This window comes from Homo sapiens, chromosome 8 (assembly GCF_000001405.40).
Source record: "Homo sapiens chromosome 8, GRCh38.p14 Primary Assembly".
NCBI lineage: Eukaryota > Metazoa > Chordata > Mammalia > Primates > Hominidae > Homo > Homo sapiens.
Window position 1 is genome coordinate 93229556 of NC_000008.11, and position 20638 is coordinate 93250193.

A 20638-nucleotide genomic window follows, 5' to 3' on the forward strand; every position below is an offset into this window, starting at 1 on the left:
TTTAAAAGTCTCAGGACTTCTATTTTGATAGATTAGAAATCTCCGGACCATTAGGAGACGTTGACTTGTTGAAGACGGATGGAAAGCCGAGAGCCTGCCCACCGCCGGGCCACCAGCCAGCACCAAGGGGACGCGAAAGAGGAAGTCCTCCTCTCAGCCAAGACCCAGAAGCCCTAAGAAGTGTCCGAAAATAGCGAAGAAGGGAAAAGCAACTCGTCGAGGGAGAGCCAGGAAGAAAAGTGCTCCAAAAAAGACCGCGGCTGTAAGAACACCTGAGGAAGGGAGCGGGCCAGCACCATCCGGCCCCAGTGTCCCGCTGAACCAGGAGCTCCCTCAGCATGAGCTGCGGCCGGAGCCACCGAGTGAGGGGACCCAGCCAGAGGAAAAACTGAGTAAGGGGACCTAGCTGGAAGAGCAAGTGAATGAGGGGACCCAGCCCGACCCACTGAGTGAGGGGACGCAGGCGGAGGAACAGAGTGAGGGGACACAGCCAGACCCACTGAGTGAGGGGACACAGCCGGACCCACTGAGTGAGGGGACACAGCCGGACCCACTGAGTGAGGGGACTGCAACCAACTCCATTCTCTCCCTGAGCAGCGAGTAACTTCAGGCCCAGCCCGGAGACCTAGGAGCCACCGGAGGTCTGACCCAGAGAACTCACCAACAGGGTGCGCCCCATGGTGAAAATAAAATGAATCTGTTAGAGAGAGAGAGACAGAGAACTCCCTCCACTTTTTTTCCCCAAGTCACCACCACTTCTGACACTATCTTTTTCTCTAGCGTTCTGCTGTTGTGGTCCCTGGCGCATGCTTGTTTCACAAAACGCCAAGAGTAGATCAGTGGATGTCATTGGGAAAAAAAACAAAAAAATAAAAAAACAGAAAGTTTACCATTTCTCAATGTTTACTAAAGTGACATCCTAATAATACACCTTTTAAGGCAAAGCATGGGGAAGAACCACAATGGTCAGCTAGGAAAACACCAAATGATTCAATTAAGTTGGAAATACTCATTTAGTTGAGTGGACATCTGTCAACCTTAATCTGGTTCAGTACAATGCTAATTCTATATTGACTCCAATTTTATGAATTTGTTGTTGGTATAAGACTATAGGCTTACTAATATTCTCATAAATGTGGCACATTACCAGGATATTCCTCTTTCAACTGTTTTAGTGATTAATGGAAAGAAGTTGTTTAGAGGGAACAAAATATTCATATAAAATTAGCAACAGGAACCATTTGCACAAATGAGCTAAAAAGTAAAAAGTGTACAGAGGAATAAAAAAGAGCAAAAAGATTTGGGAGGCCGAGTAGGGTGGATCACCTGAGGTCAAGAATTTGAGACTAGCCTGGCCATACCATGGCGAAACCCCATCTCTACTCAAAATACAAAAAATTAGCTGGGTGTGGTGGCAGGCACCTGTAATCCCAGCTACTCAGGAGGCTGAGGCATGAGAATCATTTGAACCCAAGAAGCCAAGGTTGCAGTGACCCGAGATTGTGCCATTGCACTCCAGCTTGGGTGATAGAATGAGACTCTGTCTCAAAAAAAAAAAAAAAAAAAAAAAAAAAAAAAAAGAGCAAAAAGAGAAGGCCAGGGACTGGCTGGCATCCATAAGCAGAGAATAGAAAGAAGAGAGCCAAACAGGTAAATACATAGAGTATACTAAGAAAGGAATGGATGCATGATCAACAGAGGGTCAAAAAAAGTTTTCAGAAGGATACAGAAAGAAATAGCAGCTTTCAAATTCAACCTGGAGAAAGTTATTGGTGATTCTAGGGAGCACACTTGTGTTTCTTAGTCAAGAGACCTAGGGCATTGCAGGTAATATGGAGGAAATAGAGGCAGCTGGTAGAGCTGTAGCAAGTAATCAGTTATCTGCATTTGGAGGTGTCTATTAAGAAGGAAGTTCCCAGGGGAACATGGTAGGACATAAACCATTCTGTCCTCATGTGCTTCCAGGGATATGGCCAATGTCCCTTCTTCCTCTGAGCTCCTGTAGTTTATCCATCTGTGACACTCATTTGGCACTTAGGACCTGCTGGCTTGTATTGTTCTTTATTTCTTTAGGAGCTGGTCTATTTCCAAAACAGCCTGTGAGCTTTTTAACAATTGCTTTATATTGTCTGCCACAATGCCTTGCACATAATGTTAGTGACAGCAATAGTTGTAGAGGTAGCAGTAGTAAAAGTAGTAATAGAAAGAGCTGTTACTATGACTGTGCTAAGTACTTTATATATCTTATTTCATTTAATCCTCCTCCTAGGGTAGCTACTATTATTATCTGTCATTATCTCCAATGTAAAAGTGAAGACACTGAGGCTCAGAGAAGTTCAATAACTTGGTTCTACTCAGCTTGTAGATGACAGAGTTGGGATTCACATTCAAAGGTTTCAGATCTCAGTTGCCAAAGTTTGACAAGGAAGATTTGGTACACACTATCTCATTTCTTTTTTCTTTTTTCACTAATATAAAATTGTAAACAATAAGGTTTTATCAGATACTCAGTGCAATAAGTTGTTTTATGTCTCTCACTGGAATTTTCAATTATCTTGGCTTTTATGATTTGTCACCAGAAGCAAAATGGTTTATGTCTGGGAGAACCCTGAAGCCATGATGGCTCTGGTGAATGTGGGAGCCTGAAAAGCACTGGATCTCTGACCAGAAACATAGAAAAAATAGTACAGGAAACATTGTCTGTCAAATAAGCCACTCACAGAAACAAAGGCCAGGCAGAGGCCAGATAGCACTACCAGGTGAAATATAGGTACCTGGCTAATTTGAATTTCAGATAAACAAATTTTTCAATATAAGTATGTCCCAAATGTTGCATGGAATATACTTATATTAAACAGTATTCATTTAAAAATCTGAAATCCAAATTTAACTGGGAATCCTGTATTTTTACTTACTGAATCTGGCCACCCCAAGGCCAGAACACATTCTCCCATCTTTTGATATACTGAGGAAGTACAGGTCTGAGCCGTAAACCACCAAGGGAGAAAGGAACATTTCTGTCATTCTTCTGCAAATCAGTCCTGTTGCTTAAAATAAACCTGATCACACACACACGAACTTAGAAAACAATGATTTGAACCCCCTTCTTCTTGCAATAACTGATTACATTAACTTCATGGATTCTGCAAGGCAAACACAAGAATTGGAGTTCTAGTTTCCTGTATTCATTCAAAATCCCCAGAATCTTCTCTATTTTCCCTCAGATATTAGTTCTCTGCAGGAAACCACAGGGTTCTGAACTGAAAAAGAACTTTGGATGAATGTTTATAGGAGTGGATGATCTCAGTCTGTTCACTCGTGGGTCAATCAAAATTCTGTCTTTACTTGAATTAGTCAGATAATCATATTTCTGATGCTCCATCTGATCAAATTTGTGCTGAAGTTTAGAAGAAAGTGTTAGTCCCTGACCTAGCCCAGCTGATTGTAGCCAGCACCCAGGCACCTAGGCACCCTGGCAAGATCTGGGGAGCTCTGATACTTCTTTCACATGGAGTTGGGTAACTGCTTGATTTCCAGGGGCTGCAGTTCCTACAGAAGGTGAACTTGGACTCATTTTCCTTTCTTCTCTCTTCTTGCCCCTCGCCTCCTATTTTCCCTGACCATCCTACTTTACTCTCAACATTCAATGCCCTGGACAGGGACTGATATGGGTTGGCTGTGTCCCCTGACAAATCTCATCTTGAATTGTAATCCCCATAATCCCCATGTGTCATGGGAGGGACGCAGTGGGAGGTAATTTAATCATGGGGGCAGTTTCCCCTAGCCTGTTCTTGTGATAGTGAGTGAGTTCTCATGAGATCTGATGGTTTTATAAGTGTCCCACATTTCCTGGTACTCATTCTCTCTACTGCCGCCTTGTGAAGAGGCGCCTTCCACCATGATTGTAAGTTTCCTGAGGCCTCCCTAGCCATGCAGAACTGTTAGTCAATTAAATCTCTTTTCTTTGTAAATTACCCACTCTCAAATATTTCTTCATAGCAGTGTGAGAACAGACTAATACAGGAACATTGCAATTTCATTCCAAGAGTCATAGGGACAAGTTCTTCTCATAATGGGAAAGACATTCTAGACCAAATGCTTCTATCACAGAAATGTTTAGAGGCACAAGGAAGTAGACACTGGTAATCAATATTTCTTTAATTCACCAGAAAGTGTCTTCCTTTCCTTCCACATTTCTTAAAATTTAAGAGTAAATTATTCACTTAATACCTGAAAGGTGACTAACTACTTGGTGCTAGCATTACCGAGGGCATGGTTTCATTACAAAGTTCTCCATTTTGTCAATCTATATTGCTCGTGATGAGTTATTTTCCTAATCATAATGTGAGCCCTCTGAACTTCTTTATCTGTTATCAGTCCACACCAATACCACTGAGAATAAAGTGATTCTGATCTGATGAAACCAGGTTCTAGAAGGAACACTCTAAGACAGCAGCCAAATCTCTTTGGGAATGGATGGCTCTACTATAGCTACAGTATCACCAGAAGATGTGAAATACATTGTCATTTCTATTGGCTATTTATTTTAAAGGAAAAAAAGTAAGAAATAACAAAACAGAAGTGGCCAGAAATCCTTAAAACCCTGAAAACAAATACCTAACTAAGTAGGAAAATAATGTTGACTGAATTTCAGAAAAGACCATCCAATTGCTTGCGATGAATGACAATGATTCTAAATATGGAAGTATGTGAATATAACATTTGCTTTTAAGATGTTTTCGTCCTCACTCAATTTTATTGTTCCAAAATGAAGTTTTGCTGCTATCTAGGTTATAAGGTTGACAAAATGATTTATTTTGAAACAAGCCAAGTTTTTACTTTGAAAAAGTAGTAATGTGCAGAGATTACTTTGTTAGTATTTCAATTTTCTGATTGCCAACAATCAATTTAAATGTTCCCCTGGAGTTCTTTGCAGTACTGAAAATTTAAAGACAAATCAAAGAGTCAGGATAGTTACTGCCAAGGCCCATGTCTGACAGTAGCTTCTTCTCTAACGTGGTTAAAATATTCAAGATTCCAGGAATTTCACAGGAATATGTGAGCAATATTAGGGATGTCATGGATTCTGAGCATGAAATTTGTCTTCCATATACATGCCTTTTTTATCATAGGATGAATAAATTTGGTATTATTTTCTCTTACAAATTAGCTGTAACTTACGTTTCACTCTACATTACTGAGGGGGAAAAAAGCATGGTGTGGGACATTATATGATCCTTGGGTATTCCGTCAGGAGAAGACTTACTCTCTAATGTCCAGGAGCCGATTTCTCAGCTTGTGGATGATTTTGGACTGCTTTTCTGCAACAGAATCTGTTTTGAGATTATAAAATTCTCGTTAACATTTCCACTAGAACAAATAATGAAAGGTGCCAAAATGGAATAAAACAGTGAATTCTTCGTTCTTTTAAAGAGCAAATAATTAGGTACAGTAATGACTGTAAAATGACATTATTAAATTGTGTGGATTTTTTAATTGATTTTTTTATTTGAAAACCCACAACTGAACAACTAGTATGGAGGAACAATGCTAGGTGCAGTGAAGAATATAATGGTGAAATGGATACAAAGAGAAAACAAAAAATAGCTTCATAGTCTTGATGTAACCTGCTCATACTCAAAGATAATTGGGAGTCAACATTTTTGGCCTTATGTGATGAGCACTTTCATGATCTCTGTGTATCAGTAAGTGGGTGTGGGTGTGTATATTACGTGTGCATTTCAGTGTTTGTCTAAGTGTTTATGTGTTGTGTCTATGTTCAACCTGGGCCTCGAATCAATTGCTCTGGTTTTATACCTCCAGATTAGATTACCTGAAGGAGCTGGAGCCCATCTTAGGTGCTATTTCTGTTGCCTACCCTCAAGTAGTCTTTGCAGTGAGGTAAATAGGAAGTAATGAGTTGTAGCATTCTCCATACCCCCATCTCCAACATTTATAACTAGTGCTGTTACAAGAAGTGATGTGAATAAACATACAAGTTGCTGAATTATTTATATATCATTTCTATTAGCTTAGTGAGATATATTTTGTAAATTACTAATAGTTTCCAAAAGCCGAAAATCATTTAGACTAATTGGTACATTATACAATCTAACTGTGTAATTGATTTTTAAATGAATTGGTCCCTAAGTGAGTTTTGAATATCCTATAATAATTGGTTTCTAATAAATGATATGAATAAATGAGTGATTAATGCATTTATATAGAAAGCAGCTGATCGGTCTTTAGTTCAACTGAAAGGCCCAGTACATTGGTGGAGAAAGTCCACTAGAGAGCTAAGCATGACTTACATCAGCATGTCATTATTACAAACTAGAAATTGTAGACTGTAATGAAAAATGTCCATCTTCCATTCTTTGATCATGAAAGCAGTTTAATAAATAAGAGATATTTACTTTAGACATAAGTTTTACTTAATTGTGAATTGTGAGGATTGAGAGATTCTAAATATTTGGGTTCCTAGTGATAATTTCAGTGATGAATGAAGAGACAGCAGTTTTCCTTACAACAGAAGAATGTTCAGTTAGAAAGAAGAAATTTACAAAAGCATATTAAATGATGAGTGTGTTGGGGATGCTTTTCAAGCTGATTGGGAAGGACACTCTCTCTTTTAAGAAGAGATATATGGCTGCCTATAGGAGACCTCATGGTCGCTTGCCAAATGTTAATGTTCAGCACTTAGTATTTCTGGCTCAGACCCAGTCTTAGCATCTCAGGATCTGTTAAGTTGTTCCATTTTCTAAAAGGCAATTGGAACTTGAGAGGAATTCTAACATCCTTTGTGCAAATGGATGCTGCAAACCAGAAAACATAGAAAGAAACACAAGGAACTATTGCATACTTATATTTGTTATGTAAATATGATAATACTTCTGTATTATTTGCTGCTGTATATTCACAAATGTCAAAATGCCATACAATTTGCAGGGAACATGTGTAATTGGTTAGCCCTGTAAAACCAATTCCCTCCTCCTTTGGGTACTAGACGTCAGTTTCCTTTTGAGGGAAACTGCACCTTTGAATACAGCTTGGTGGTACCCCTGCCAGTGAAGGAACCCTGTTCTTTCCTTATCCAAGCAACAGGCATGTGACCCAATTTCTACTTCTGAAATATAAATCATAAGCTGAATGGCAGAGAATGAACATGTTTGCGTGTGACTCAATCCTGCAATGGTGCTTGGAGAAGACCATCAAGTAATTCGTGTAGTGATGTTCCTAAGCCCCTAGAAGCTGCCTGGCTCCTGCCCTTTTCTGCTTGATTTTCAGCCTCTGCTTTGATCCTAAAACTTTTCCATCATCTCTTAACAAATTGCCTTTTTTTTAAGTTAGCTTTCTGCTGCTTACATCCAAAAACTGCAACTGACAAAATTCTCTTACTTCTCTTACTTTTTGCTTATGGAGTTGAAGAATATATATATATATATATATATTTTTTTTTAAACCCTAATGGTTAGTAACTTGTCTGTGGGTACATAACTAATCACTGGCCTGAAAGTAAAAGAGAGTAATATCCAGATTAATACAACAAGTGGTATCATTCTTGTCAAATATTGCATTATTTACTCCATGTAATCTACCAACAATTGGTACAGCTAGTGAGCTCAACAAATTCCAATACTATTTTCAACCAGTAATCATTTATTTGTGTGGCATTGGTTGCTATTTTTTTAATATTAGATTATAAGCTTTTCCAGGGTTGCTGTGCTTTCTGAAAGTAAGTTTTGAGTTTGCTTCCCTCTAAATCTTCCCTCTGACAGCTGTTATATTTAATCTTCCTAAAAATGCTATTTTCAGGAGGTGGAGGAACCAGGGTGAGAGAATTTCTGTCTCAAGGATCCACATTATCTACTCACTTTTTGTTTCACCTTTATGTTCTTCTCCTTCCTCAGTGTAGTATAATTGGTTTCAAGTCTTGGAAGTTGAGGAGGAAATATGTGTGCCAAGTTATGCTTTTTCCTATCATATATTCACTCAGATTTATGTTTAAGTGCATAAATCCTCCCTGTTTGCTTAAGACTTAAGATTCTGAAACTCATAAGCCAAGCAGCCAGGGTGAGCACTAAATATACATTAGTTAACATTTCAAAGTATTGCCTGACCATGCTACAATGAATTTTTATTGTTCAAGAGGTCAAAATTCATTATGTGGAAATTCATATTTTGATTCCATCTGATTAACCTTATTCCTAGTCAAACACAGGAAACTAAAGGTTTATTGGGTTGTGTTTCTGGGAGATAAAAATGTCTCTACTAGGTTTTGTCTGTTCAGTCTAAACCTGATGCCCTCTGATGTGAAGAAGATCTCATCATGGAAAGAGTATGAAATTTTATGGGGGTAAAGCCAGGTGTGGTGGCATATGCCTATAGTCCCAGCTACTCAGGGGGCTGAGGCAGGATCCCCTAAGGCCAGGAGTTCAAGTCCAGCCTGGGCAACATAGTGTGACTTCATCTCTTAAAAAATAATAATAAAAATATTTTAACGGGGTAGTCATCCTAGTTATATTCTTCATAAAGGAGAGTCTTTACTAACCTATGCATGAATTATCGTGAATAGAGAAAATCGATATTCTGTGAGATATATTTTTACAGGCTTTTTAGAGGAGTAGAAACCAACAACAGTATGATCAATCCTGTCAATATAAGCCAAACCTCTGGCAAAGGACCTCCGTGACAAAAGGTTTTTACGTTTCTTCACAGTAAATTTCTTTTCCTAACTGTATTTGGCTTACTCTTATTATTTGATGTTTGAACACTGACCACTGGGACCAAAGAAAGATGAACCAGAGCTTCGAGGGGAATTCATGCTGGGATTACAATTTTGACCAAAGATGATGAGCTTGTACATGTGTAATGGGAACACAAGCTATTATTCCCATGATAACCCCTCAGAATGTCTGGTATATAAAACTTCTCCTATACGGTGAGGTCTTGGCTGAGACTGAGCCAGAAACTATTATACTCCCTGCCTCTGAGATGCTGTTTTTCAATAATATTGACTCTTAGAAAAGAATAATAATATCAGAGACTAGATATCCAAGTTGTCATCTCAACTTCAACATTTAATGGAAGTTGGATTTAAACTCAGAAACTCTCATCCTACCTCTTTCAAATGATTGGTTTAAGGATCAGATACCATAGTGTACTTGAGATGGCTTTGTAAAGCACAATGGACCGAACTAATGTAAATTATAATTTTCATATTTATCTAGGTATTATTTATCTAAATAAATTTGAAACTTAAATTTACTGAAGTTTGATGAAGAGGTAGGTCCTTATAACGCCTAATAAATGCCATCAAAACAATGACATTTAAAAGTAATATTCAGTAAAAGACACATAGAAACTGTGCTTATAAAACTCTTCACTGGTTGAAAAGGATACAATGTAAATAGAATTCCTATTAATATAATGTTTAAGGATACAGATGTTACATTAATAAGGCTGTGAACACAGGTAATTATCACCAGCTAAGAGGAAAGCCTAGTTTTCAAGGTAAGCAGACTATTTTCATTCCATGCTCATTTTGAGTTTCATTCTACTTTTCAGAGTTCAGGAAAAAAAATAATTCAAATAAAATGTTTGTCTTACAGTTTTGTAATACCCCATGATGTTATATAATTCTTAAAAATTAAATCAAAGAAACATCCCCTTCAAGCCAATAAAATATTATAAAATAAATTAATACAAATTAGCATAGTTTGGGGCAGAAGATCCTGGGAGAGAGACACTCCACTCAGCACAGAAAGGAAAAAAGGACAAGCTATGCACTCCTTTTCCCTATGGGTAAGTAGAGCCTTGACAGATCAAAGACATTGAATAAAATAGCTCTAACTCTATAGTGAATTATTTGCTTGGTAAAGAGGGAACCTTGCACCTGACAACCGTATGGGTGATGGTTTTCATGTGACCAATCAGATGAGCACTCGCCTTCTCAGTCCTGCAGAAAATGGAGAAACTATCCAATTAGCAATGGGTGGAGAATGAGCTGGGCATGCGGCAAAACTGATGATCAATGTGCTGTGAGACCCAGTAATACGCTGGCCACAAGTAACAGGCCCGTAGAGCTCCCCAAGCCCTGGATGGTCTTTCACTTCCAATTCTCATCACACATATCCTTAAAATAAGTCTGCTTTTCCTTTCAGTGGCTTATGTGAATCCCAGATCATAGCAACCAAGATAAATAAAACTAACTAAATTTTTTGGCACAACTTTCACCCCAAGTACATCGCAGTCCTTGGCTACATTGCTGAGGTCACAATGGAAGACACCCATAGGGAGTCTGCTGCAAACCTGGCATTGCAGGGTGACTGAAGACACCCCTGCTCTTTGCCCAAGTGCACTATTCTACATGCACGTGTGCCCCACATGACACTGCTCCACATCCCACCTCCCAGCAGGGGCAATATTACGTAAGTAGAAGCATCACCTTGCCCTTATGCTATTTTAAAAATCATGTTGTCACAAAAGAAGCAAATAGAAGTAGGCAGAACCTGAGCAAACAGAGTTATTTGTACATAATGTTCTCATCTCCCACCAGGAAGTGTCTATGTTCCATGAAATGTCTGAATCCCACAGAAGTTTGGGAAGCTCACTCTGCGGGATTTACACTGATTTTACCTCCCAGGATGTCCTTGTTTCACTTGGCTAACTTCTTGAGGTCTACAGCATCCCCCTGTGGGGCAGAGAATAGAATCTCGTGTCTGACAAAGAAAGGAAAGAAAAAGTATACACACACACACACACACACACACACTGAGTCTTTATTGACTAAATGCTACCTGGACTATTAAAGAGGACAGTGAGTGTTGAAATGCATTACTTATATGCCAGGCAGCAATAACTACATTTTGCTTTATAACATTGATCAGAGTTTTACTATGCTTGGGGAAATTATCATTTATGTATATTTATAGGAAGCATAGGTAGGACAGAGTGTGATTTATCAGCACTTCAAGCCAATAACTGGTAGGAGAAAGCACCTAGATGGTCATGTTGTTACAGGATATTTGGGGGTGTTGTTTTTCTGGTTGGAAACCTCTGTGGCCAGTGGTGCCTTTGCCTGAGCTTTGCTTGGGCCCTCTGGGCTTATTTTGCCCACTTGGCCTGGCAGGCTGCTCTTGGCTTATGCTACCGGCTGGGTCCCATGCCTGCCAAGGGTGAGTCAGGCATAGAATGATGAGGGGTATGTGAGCAAGCATGGATCCGGCCACTGTGCAGTCAAACTTGCCAGCTGCTGCAGTGGGGCAGGCAGCTCCAGGTGCCGGCACAGGTACTGGCTCTCTGCAAGGCTGTGGCCAGACCAGGCACACCACAAGCAGCTTTCACAGCTGGCACTAAGGAACACGGTGGGTGCCCAGAAGCTTGGAGACACCAGGAACTGCACAAAACACCAAGACACCAGAGTCCAAAAGAGGGAGTCACAGCTCTGACTTGAGGAGCTCCTAAGTCTGGGCTCCCAGAAAGGCCACAGTTTTTCTTTCCTTCTCTTCACCCACAATATGGCAAGCAAGGCGCATGTCTCAGCTCTGTTTGTGTTACAGCTCTTTTAGCCTCACCATGGGTGGATCGTGAATTCTTGTCCTGCCAGGAAGAATGAGGTATGCAGACAAGTGGAGGGTGAGCAAGATGAACTGGAGCTTTATTTAGCAATAGAACAGCTCAGAAGAAAGCTGCAGGGTGCAGGTCCTTTCTGTAGCCAGGGTGTCCTGACAAGTTTTCAGCTCCTAGCAGAGACATAGCTTCTCTCTGCAGCTGGCCATCCTGTCATCTATGCAGCTCTCAGCAGAGAGGAAGCCCTAGAGTGGGTGGCTCCTCTCTGCAGGCAGGTCATCCTATCATCTCCCAATCATCTCTCCCTTGTCTTTGCAGCTCTCAGCAGAGAGGAGTTCCTAGAGTGAGTTGCTCCTCTCTGCAGCTGGCTGTCCCAACATCTTCTCAGCTCTGGCTGAGCCCAAGGCTTTTATGGGCCTTAGAGGGGAAGAAATGCACTCCAATTGGTCAATAGGCAACCATGGGTGAGCCTGGAAAAGGCACCACAAGTTCCCACTCCAGTCCAAAGGACTGGCAGCCTGGCTCCCAGCCTTCAGGCCCACCCCAAACTGAAGATGAGGCCTCACCAGGGACCTGCCCTCTCCTGCCCAAGAACCTGTCTGCCTCCTCATGATGCCCAGGCTGTAGGTGCTGAGGGGCACCTGTAGACCAGCACCAAGCTGTCCTCAGCCCCATCTCAGCTTCCCTCCTATGCTTGTCAGTGCCCGAAGTCCAGAGGGGGCCAAGACAGCAAGGGGCTGGCGTGTCAGCACTGCCTCAAGCATGTGCACACCCAGCCAGGCTGTGACAGTGCTTGAGCTTGGCCCCAACTTTGCTCCAAAATTGGAGCAGGTGCTGACAGCAGGGAGAAACCTGGCAGCAGGAGCAGGAACTTCCAAGCCTGCAAGGATCTTGGGGGTGCCTTCCAGGGCAGCCAAGATTGTAGAGATGCCTGGGTCCACAGCAGCTGTTTGGCTGCGCTGCACCTGGGGGGTGCAGGGCTTCTACCTGCTTCGTGGAGTAGGAGGCCTGGGTCTGCAGCCACGGTTTGGGTGGCTGCGGCTGTACGCAGAAGGGCAGGGATCCTGCCTGCTTCTGAGCCCTGAGAGCACAGGGATGCCCAGGTCTGCAGCCGTGGCTTGAGCAGCTGCAACAGCATCCAGGGAGCTCCCACCCCAACTTGGAATGGGCAGGGGTCCTGCTTGTTCCCAGCTTCCAGCTCCATGGAGCATGCAGCCCCAGTCATGCCTCCATGATGCAGCTGGTGTGACGGTAGTGGCGTCTCCAGACAGCCCACAGCTGCCATCAGTGTGTCCTAAAACAACCCCTAGTCATTGAAATAGACAGAGGCCTTCTTTATCCCCAGGAATAAATGGTAGAGTGGGGTGGGAAACATGGAGTCCCAGACCTCCTTATCTCCTGGGAATATGTTTACTGCAATTTGATAGGGAAAAGCCTCTTCTAACAGCATCACATTAAAGGAGCTGCTTTGTTGGCAATGGGCTTTTGCAGTTCACTCACTCTCTTCTTATGAAACAGTACTAGGCCAAAAGAACAGAGACTTAACAGTTCTGACTCCTCCCTTGTTTCCAGACATTGGGGTACTGCATCTGGTCTGCATGCTTACTGCTGTGTGCCAAAATATCTTCTGTCTCATGCCAGTCTGCCAATTCATATAACCCAACAAGCAATGCTAACCAAGTTTGAGTTGGTTGTTTCCAGGCATCTCTTGCCTTTGAGAATTCAAGGAGTGCCACCAGGACTGCCTTGGGGCCCTCTCTGTTAGCAGTCCCTCTGAGGATATGGCTGTGGTCACAAGGGTACAAATGGTGGATATGCAAGCAGGCCCAGTATTTCCTAGTCCCACTAGAGTACTAAAGACTCAACAACTCTTCAGTCCTGGAATTCAATATCATTTTCCATATGGGTTACATTACGATTTCACAACAAAATTCTGGAGTGGGGAGAGATCATTTTAAAATTTCAGGTCGAATAAATTTACTGTATGAGCCAATAATTTCACTCATAGAAAATTACCAAGGAGAAATGAGAACATATGCCTACAAAAGTACATGTATGTGAATGTTTATAGCAGCTTTAATCATAATAGCCAAAAAGTGGAAACAATCCAAATGTTTATCAATTGGTGAACAGATAAATAAAATATGGTATATATACGTGATGGAATACTATGCAGCCATAAAAAGATTTGAAATTCTGATATATGCTACAATGTGGGTAAACATAAAAAAATATTGTGCTAAGTAAAAGAAACCAAACACAGAAGACATCATATTGCATGATTCCATTTAGATGAATGGACCAGAAAAGGCAAGTCAATAGAGACATAAAGTAGATCACCTTGACATTCCGATTTTTGAAAAATTGTCACAGTGAAAAAGTAGACAAAACATGAACATGGTATCACAAAACTGGTTTTTTTCTTTTTGTTTTTTGCCTAGGTCTGGGAGTGGGAACAGGGATTGGTAGCAAATGAGTATATGGGCTCTTTGAAAGTGATAGAAATGTTCTAAAATTGAATTGTGGCAATGGTTGCCCAACTCTGTAAATTTATTAAAGGTCACTGAATTGTGAAGTTAAAAAATGGATCCATTGTATGATATGTACATTATACCTCAAGAAAGCTATCAGAGAAAAAAATTTAGGCTGATCATTCAACTTAAGCAAGACAGGGGAAGGGGAAAAAGAAGACTGGGCTGGAAGTTTCTCATGTTCATAGAACTTACACGAGCCCCTTTTTGCCAGTTGTGTATTTTTATCTCATTTATCCCACAGGAGTGCCCAGTATGTACTGGTGGGCTTAAGTTACCTTATCTTAGGTCTGTTTCTCCACTTACCAAATGCTAGAGAATGCCGAAAGAATTGGAAAAGAGAAATAATCACCTTGACATTCCCATTTTTTGAAAAGTCATCACACTGAAAAAGTAGACAAAACATGAACAGATTTCATAAAATTGTTCTTTTAAAAAAAAAGTTCTTCTAAAAAAGGTATTTGTGCAGTCATTTCTGTAAATGTCCACAAAAAAAATGTTAAATATATATAGAGAGAGGAGATCACTCCTTGTATGACTGTTGGCAGGATTAGGAATATTATAATTCAGCAGACATTATAAAGTCAACTGGAGAAAAAAGTCTTCCTCTTGCCTCCAGGGACACCTGACCCATAGCAGCCATGATGTGTAGCTTGACTAGCACGTGTTTACAGATTGGTGAACATCAGATACATTCATTTTATTAGGTAGTTGGATAATAGCCTTTTATTTGTGATTATTTATGCATTAGCAGCAAGCAATGGATATGTGCTATGTAGGAAAGTTATTATTTGCTAATTTGCTGCTTTTAAAATACATGGCACACTATCTATTATGTATCATGAATTACAATTACAACAACAGTTTAATTAATCACCAGCACCCTGTTTTGTACCAATCTACAGCAGAATTCTGGGTAATGGTGTTGTTTACCATTTAGCAAGTAGCAACATTTCACTCTGTTTCACTACATTAAACTGCTCAAATAAAGCAAACGGATATTGAAAAGAGTTGGCCATCTGCCTTTATTTTCTTTTACTTTTGTTTAAAAAAAAAACTCTCAAAAGAGAAAGAACACAGCCATGAAACTGATAGTGACAAAAAGCACTCTCTTTTTTTCTTTATCAGGTCAGACTCTCATCTAAATGCAGTTCTGATGAATAGTTTAAAAAATAAAAAAGAAGCCCGCTTTGTGGATTTGGAGTGGGTCTCAAGACCAGCCATGAAACCTAATGATTATTTAACGGCGCTGCACTCGAGGCTGGCTTCTGTAAGCCTCCTTTCCCCCCTTTAAGAGTTTGATGAATAGGTCTTGTGACAGCCATTTAGGAATAAACAAGAATTCATCAGTCTGCATAAGAAGAAGCCAGTTTATAGATTAAGTTTCCTGAGGTAATTCATGAGGTCAGTCCCATTTAGATGGAGACTATTAGGGCCTGGCTCTCGAGAGTGGCCGTAGAGGGGAGTCACTCCAAATGGACCCCGCTCACACAAAGCTCCCTTTCAGGTAGAAGCCTGCCATTTTTATGACCCTGCTGTTAGGACGCACATCAACTTGTCACTGTGCAGATCTGCTAGGGCAAGACCTCATCACTCTATTAAAGAGCTCTGTGACCCTATTGATTTGAAGTATTTAAAGCAGGGGTGAAGTTCAAAGCAATTTCTTTTCTATACTATTACTCAGTCTCTCTGTGTCTTGGCTCTAAAACATCTGCTGTCAGTTCCTTTCTGTTGTCTGACTCTGGAATCTGTCACTGGAGAACAGAGTAGTTTTATTTAAAATAAATTGGATTCCTTTTCAGTTTTCAGCATTTCACATTGTGATCAATGGTTTATGCTCCTTCATCTGCCGGGAGACTTAACTGCAAGTGGATCCTTTTATGTCTCTTTAGGGCAAGACTGAAGCAGCATTAGCTTCTGAGGTTTCATAATAGAATCAAGTCTTAGAAGTAGGTAGCAGCTACCGGCTCCTCTAATTGGCCAATCAACAAAAGTAACAACCTTTCATTTAAAAAAAAAAAAAAAATACAGCAAGAAGGAAAGAGAAAAAAAAATCCATCTCCAACTGTGGCTCCAGGACTCAAATGCTAACAGTATCATTTTTACTTTTATTTGCTCCAAGAAATGAAAACAGAGTAAACAACTCAGTTATTTTTAAATGTCAGCAGGTAAGGCAAAACTGGGAGCCAGTTTTGAAAGGTGTTTTGCAAAACAATGCAGGCTGCCACACTTGTTCTGTGGAAACGGCAGGAACCAGAGTACATTTTGAATAGTTAATAATACATTAGGCATTGTGCATGCATTACCAAAGTGATAGTGGGAAACTCATAGCCTTTCGCTGGCTTGCTTGGGATGCTGGCCCAGCTCTTTGGATGCGTCTGTCCTCAGCCAGTGTTACTGAGGAATTTATTTGAAATACCAAGCCTGAGTTAAAACATTATGTTAAAAAATACTGGGCAAAGGAAATAATACAAAGTTCAGGATTGGTGCACAGTTTAGCATTGTTACCAACCAACTCTCCAAAAAGTCACTTAAAGTCATGCATGCCCCTTATTACTTCATGTAGAGACTAGAGGTATCCAGTGATAATTGAAACACAAAGCATTTCACTTCTCCTGAGAGTCTTTTTCAAAAAACACCTTCTATTATTCCATAGGCTTCAGCGAGGACAGTATTTCTGTAACAGGAAAGATTCTCACAGAGTCTATTGCTGCTTTTCAGATAACTCTCAATTCTTCATGTTCATCCTTGACAGATCTCCCAGGCTCTGGTCAGAGCTGTGGTCAGGTTTCCAAGCTTGGGAGTGTCTCCCCTTCCCTCAAATGCAGCCTGTTGGAAACTGAAGCCTTAATCAACATCCCTCCTATAGCCTTCTTTCCTTTTCTTTTCTTTTTTGTTTAGAGACAGAGTCTCCCTCCGTTGCCCAGGCTGGAGTGCAGTGGTGCAATCTTGGCTCACTGCAAGCTCCACCTCCCAGATTCAAGTGATTCTCCTACCTCAGCCTCCCAAGTAGCTGAGATTACAGGCATCCGCCACCACACTCAGCTAATTTTTGTATTTTTAGTAGAGACGGGGTTTCACCATGTTGGCCAGGCTGGTCTCAAACTCCTGACCTCAAGTGATCCCCACCCCTTGGCCTCCCAAAGTGCTAGGGTTACAGGTGTGAGCCACTGTGCCCAGTTTAACCTTCTTTTCAAACTCAATATTCTCTTCTAACAATGTTGCTAACCATCTTCCCAGTTATTTCTTTCCCCATATCCTGTGAGTAGCCTGGTCCTATAGAATCTGCCACTGGATTTTCTCAGCCCCACACTCTCTCCAGAACCCCATGTCTGCAGTACCTTTCACCAACAGTTGCTTCCAAATTGGGTCATCTGGCTTTAGCTTTCTTTTCACTCCAAATTAATCCCCTGAAGCCAAGCTCTAATCAAGTTCCTGCACCATAAATACCTCCAGTCATTCCACAGAATCTAGGAAACAAAACCCAGTTTCTTCAGCCTGGCATTCAGAGGTCCCTTATTCTATTTTCCTTTGCCTGTCCTATGCTTCGACTAATGAAGCTGTTGGCCATCCTGCCCTTCATAGATTCGCCCTCCATATGCCCTCCCTAAAGGAGCCCATCCACTATCAATGTTTCAGAGCCACTCAAGACTTCTAGCTCCAGCTCCATCTTCTGTCATGAGCTCAAATTATTGTCTCTCAGTAAATAGCAATGCCACCCACCAAGTTGCTCATACTAGGGAAGTTTCCCTCTCCCTCACCCCTAATCTCACAACAATTATTGTCTCCTAATTTTCCTTTCATCTTCACTGCCTCCACTCTGATCAAACGTCCTCTCCAGCTTCAACTCTGAAACATCCTGACCTGTGACTCAGTTCAAGGGTCAGTCTTACTCCCCAAGAGATAATTGATAACTCTGCTTTGAGACTACCTATATCAAATATTAGGGTTTTGTATTTATTTGTAGGAACTACCTCATTTAGAGTCACTGAAAAATGCTTATTTATTAAATAAATAAACGAACAAATGAGAAATCAATTATAGCAGTAGGAAGCAGAACTAAGCCTTCCCTTTTATAATTTAGGATGATGCAGAATTAATGCCTCAGTTCAATGATATAAGCTTAAAAATGATTATGTTTGCAAGATTTAGCCCATTTTCAGTTTTAATACTATTTAGTATGAATATTTTTATGTTTAGGCCTATAAGAAAATAGTTTGCTTTTATCCTAACTTTCTTCTTTGCAAATGTTCTTATGTCATCCCTGATATAGTTTGGCTCTGTGTCCCCACCCAAATCTCATGTCAAATTGTAATTCCCAGTGTTGGAGGAGGAGCCTGGTGGGAGGTGATTGAATCATGGGGGCTGACTTCCCCCTTGCTGTTTCAGTGATAGAGTTCTCATGAGATCTGGTTGTTTGAAAACACGCAGCATTTCCCACTTCACTCTCACTTTACTGCTGGCCATGTGAAGATGTGCCTACTTCCCCTTCACCTTCCGCCATGAATGTAAGTTTTCTGAGGCCTCCCCAGAAGCAGAAGCCTATACAGCCCACAGAACTGTGAGCTGATTAAACCTCTTTTCTTCATAAATTAACCAGTCTCAGATATGTCTTTATAACAGTGTGAGAATGGACTAATACAATCTTCAAGGGCCACTATGACATAACTATGACAATCGCATTATTTACTCAATGGTATTTTTTTAAAAAACTAATTGTGCCTCAGACAAAGCAATATGTTGAGTTCTTGTCAATCACATGCTGTAGGCTGCTTTTTTCTTTGTAACTCAGAATGTGTGTCCTTTCCAGCTCTTTTATGCTTTACATTTTTTTCAGAACAGAAACTGTAGTACCATAGCTCTGAGGTCAACAGTAAGTACACTGGTTCAGGTCTCCCTGAGAATTTTCAATAAAGATAGCACAAAAGATTTGAAGGAGATAATAGTTTCTGTTCAGATCTTCTGAGGAAGTAATAAATGACATTTGACACCATTTCTTATACCTTTAATTCAGAAGAAAAAGAGAGAGAAGAAACTCATGGATGTCAATAGAAACAGAATACTGTAACAAGTTATCATTTTGATTGGGAAATGCTGAATATGTTGGAATTTATGGCATGTATCCACAGGGCACATTTCAGAAAGGAACTTGAATTTGATGGACCAAAATGTGTTCCATCCAAAGAAAAATAAGATGATAAAATAAAAAAATTCTATCCTCAAAGAAGTGATGGTTTCATATTCAAGTACCTTTGTTATGAAAGTCTAAATGATAAGACTGCCCAACTTCTAACACACTCCCTCTGTTAATCTAATACCTAACACATTCTACACCAGGGGAAAAAAGGATGTTATTTTTTACAAAATGATTTCAATATCACAGTACACAAAGAGAACTTCAAATATGGATATGTCCTATAGACTCTATTTTTGTTTTCTTTCTATGTATATATAAAAAGACATTGATGAAAGGCCAGAGAAAATAGAAACTTTCTCCTTTAAAAAAGATAAAAGGCACTTAATGAATTAGGTGGAAGAAAGTTATATTTCTTGGTAAATCTCCCAAATATCTAATCTTAAATTCTGCCATCGTACATGCTGATCTTTCAGCAAAACCCTATGTATTTTTTGGTAGAAAATCATATCCGGAATATATATTTTCTGCAAATGTACATGGCTTATAAGTCTAAATATTCAGTGTTTCTGTTATCTCCAAAAAGATGATGTCTAATATATTTAACAAAATCATAAATAAAAATGTTTTCTTTATTTCTGAGAATAAATGATTTAAATACTTGTAAACTTAACCTAAATATTTTATTTGAAACTGTTACTGAATCACTAAGAAACAAAAACATACATTCATTGCCATTTTACTAGTATAATTCAAACATCTCAGAATAGATATTAGTTTTTCTTTTAAAACTTTTAAAAAAAATAGAGATAGGGGTCTTGCTATGTTGCCCATTATGGTCTCAAACTCCTGGTGTGAGCCACCATGCCTGGCCAATCTTAGTTTTTGTTTTAGAGATTTTTTAAAAAGAATATTGGAGAAATAATATGGAAGAACATTCAGAAATTATAAAGTATCATTCTGTTTACATTTTAATTCAAGATGCTGTTGTTTTACTACCTATCTGAATTATAAGCTATTCATGGTACAACGGATAGTGCTCAGTATATACAGGTTAATATTCTTTCATCCAAACTTTTAATATACCTCTATTTTGTGTTATTAGTATGATTATGTTTCAGATTATGTGGGAAGCTTTGGAAAAAATGAATACAATTCCTATATTCAAGGAGCTTAAAGTGTAGTGGACAGACAAAAATATAATTTATAAATTTAATTAATAAATTTGATCATTTTCCTTTTATTGGTATAGGCCGAGGCAGGTGGATCAGTTGAGGTCAGGAGTTCGTGGCCAGCCTGGCCAATATGGTGAAACCCCGTCTCTACTAAAAATACAAAAATTAACTGGGTGTGGTGGTGGGCACCTGTAATCCTAGCTACTGGGGAGGCTGAGGCAGGAAAA

General features: G+C 40.0%; 1 long non-coding RNA gene across 1 annotated transcript in view, besides 1 other annotated feature; it reads left to right on the forward strand.

Annotated features, from left to right (window-relative positions):
* LOC105375643 (uncharacterized) overlaps nt 1-20638 on the forward strand; it is a 40499-nt gene that overhangs the window by 3637 nt on the left and 16224 nt on the right. The gene's annotated exons all lie outside the window — the stretch shown is intronic.
* Nucleotides 10756-11257: an enhancer, noted in NCBI's record as "H3K4me1 hESC enhancer chr8:94252539-94253040 (GRCh37/hg19 assembly coordinates)". NCBI's record gives its function as "activates a minimal SCP1, AML or CMV promoter by ChIP-STARR-seq in primed H9 embryonic stem cells {active_cell/tissue: H9 hESC(primed)}" and the evidence as "EXISTENCE:reporter gene assay evidence [ECO:0000049][PMID:30033119]".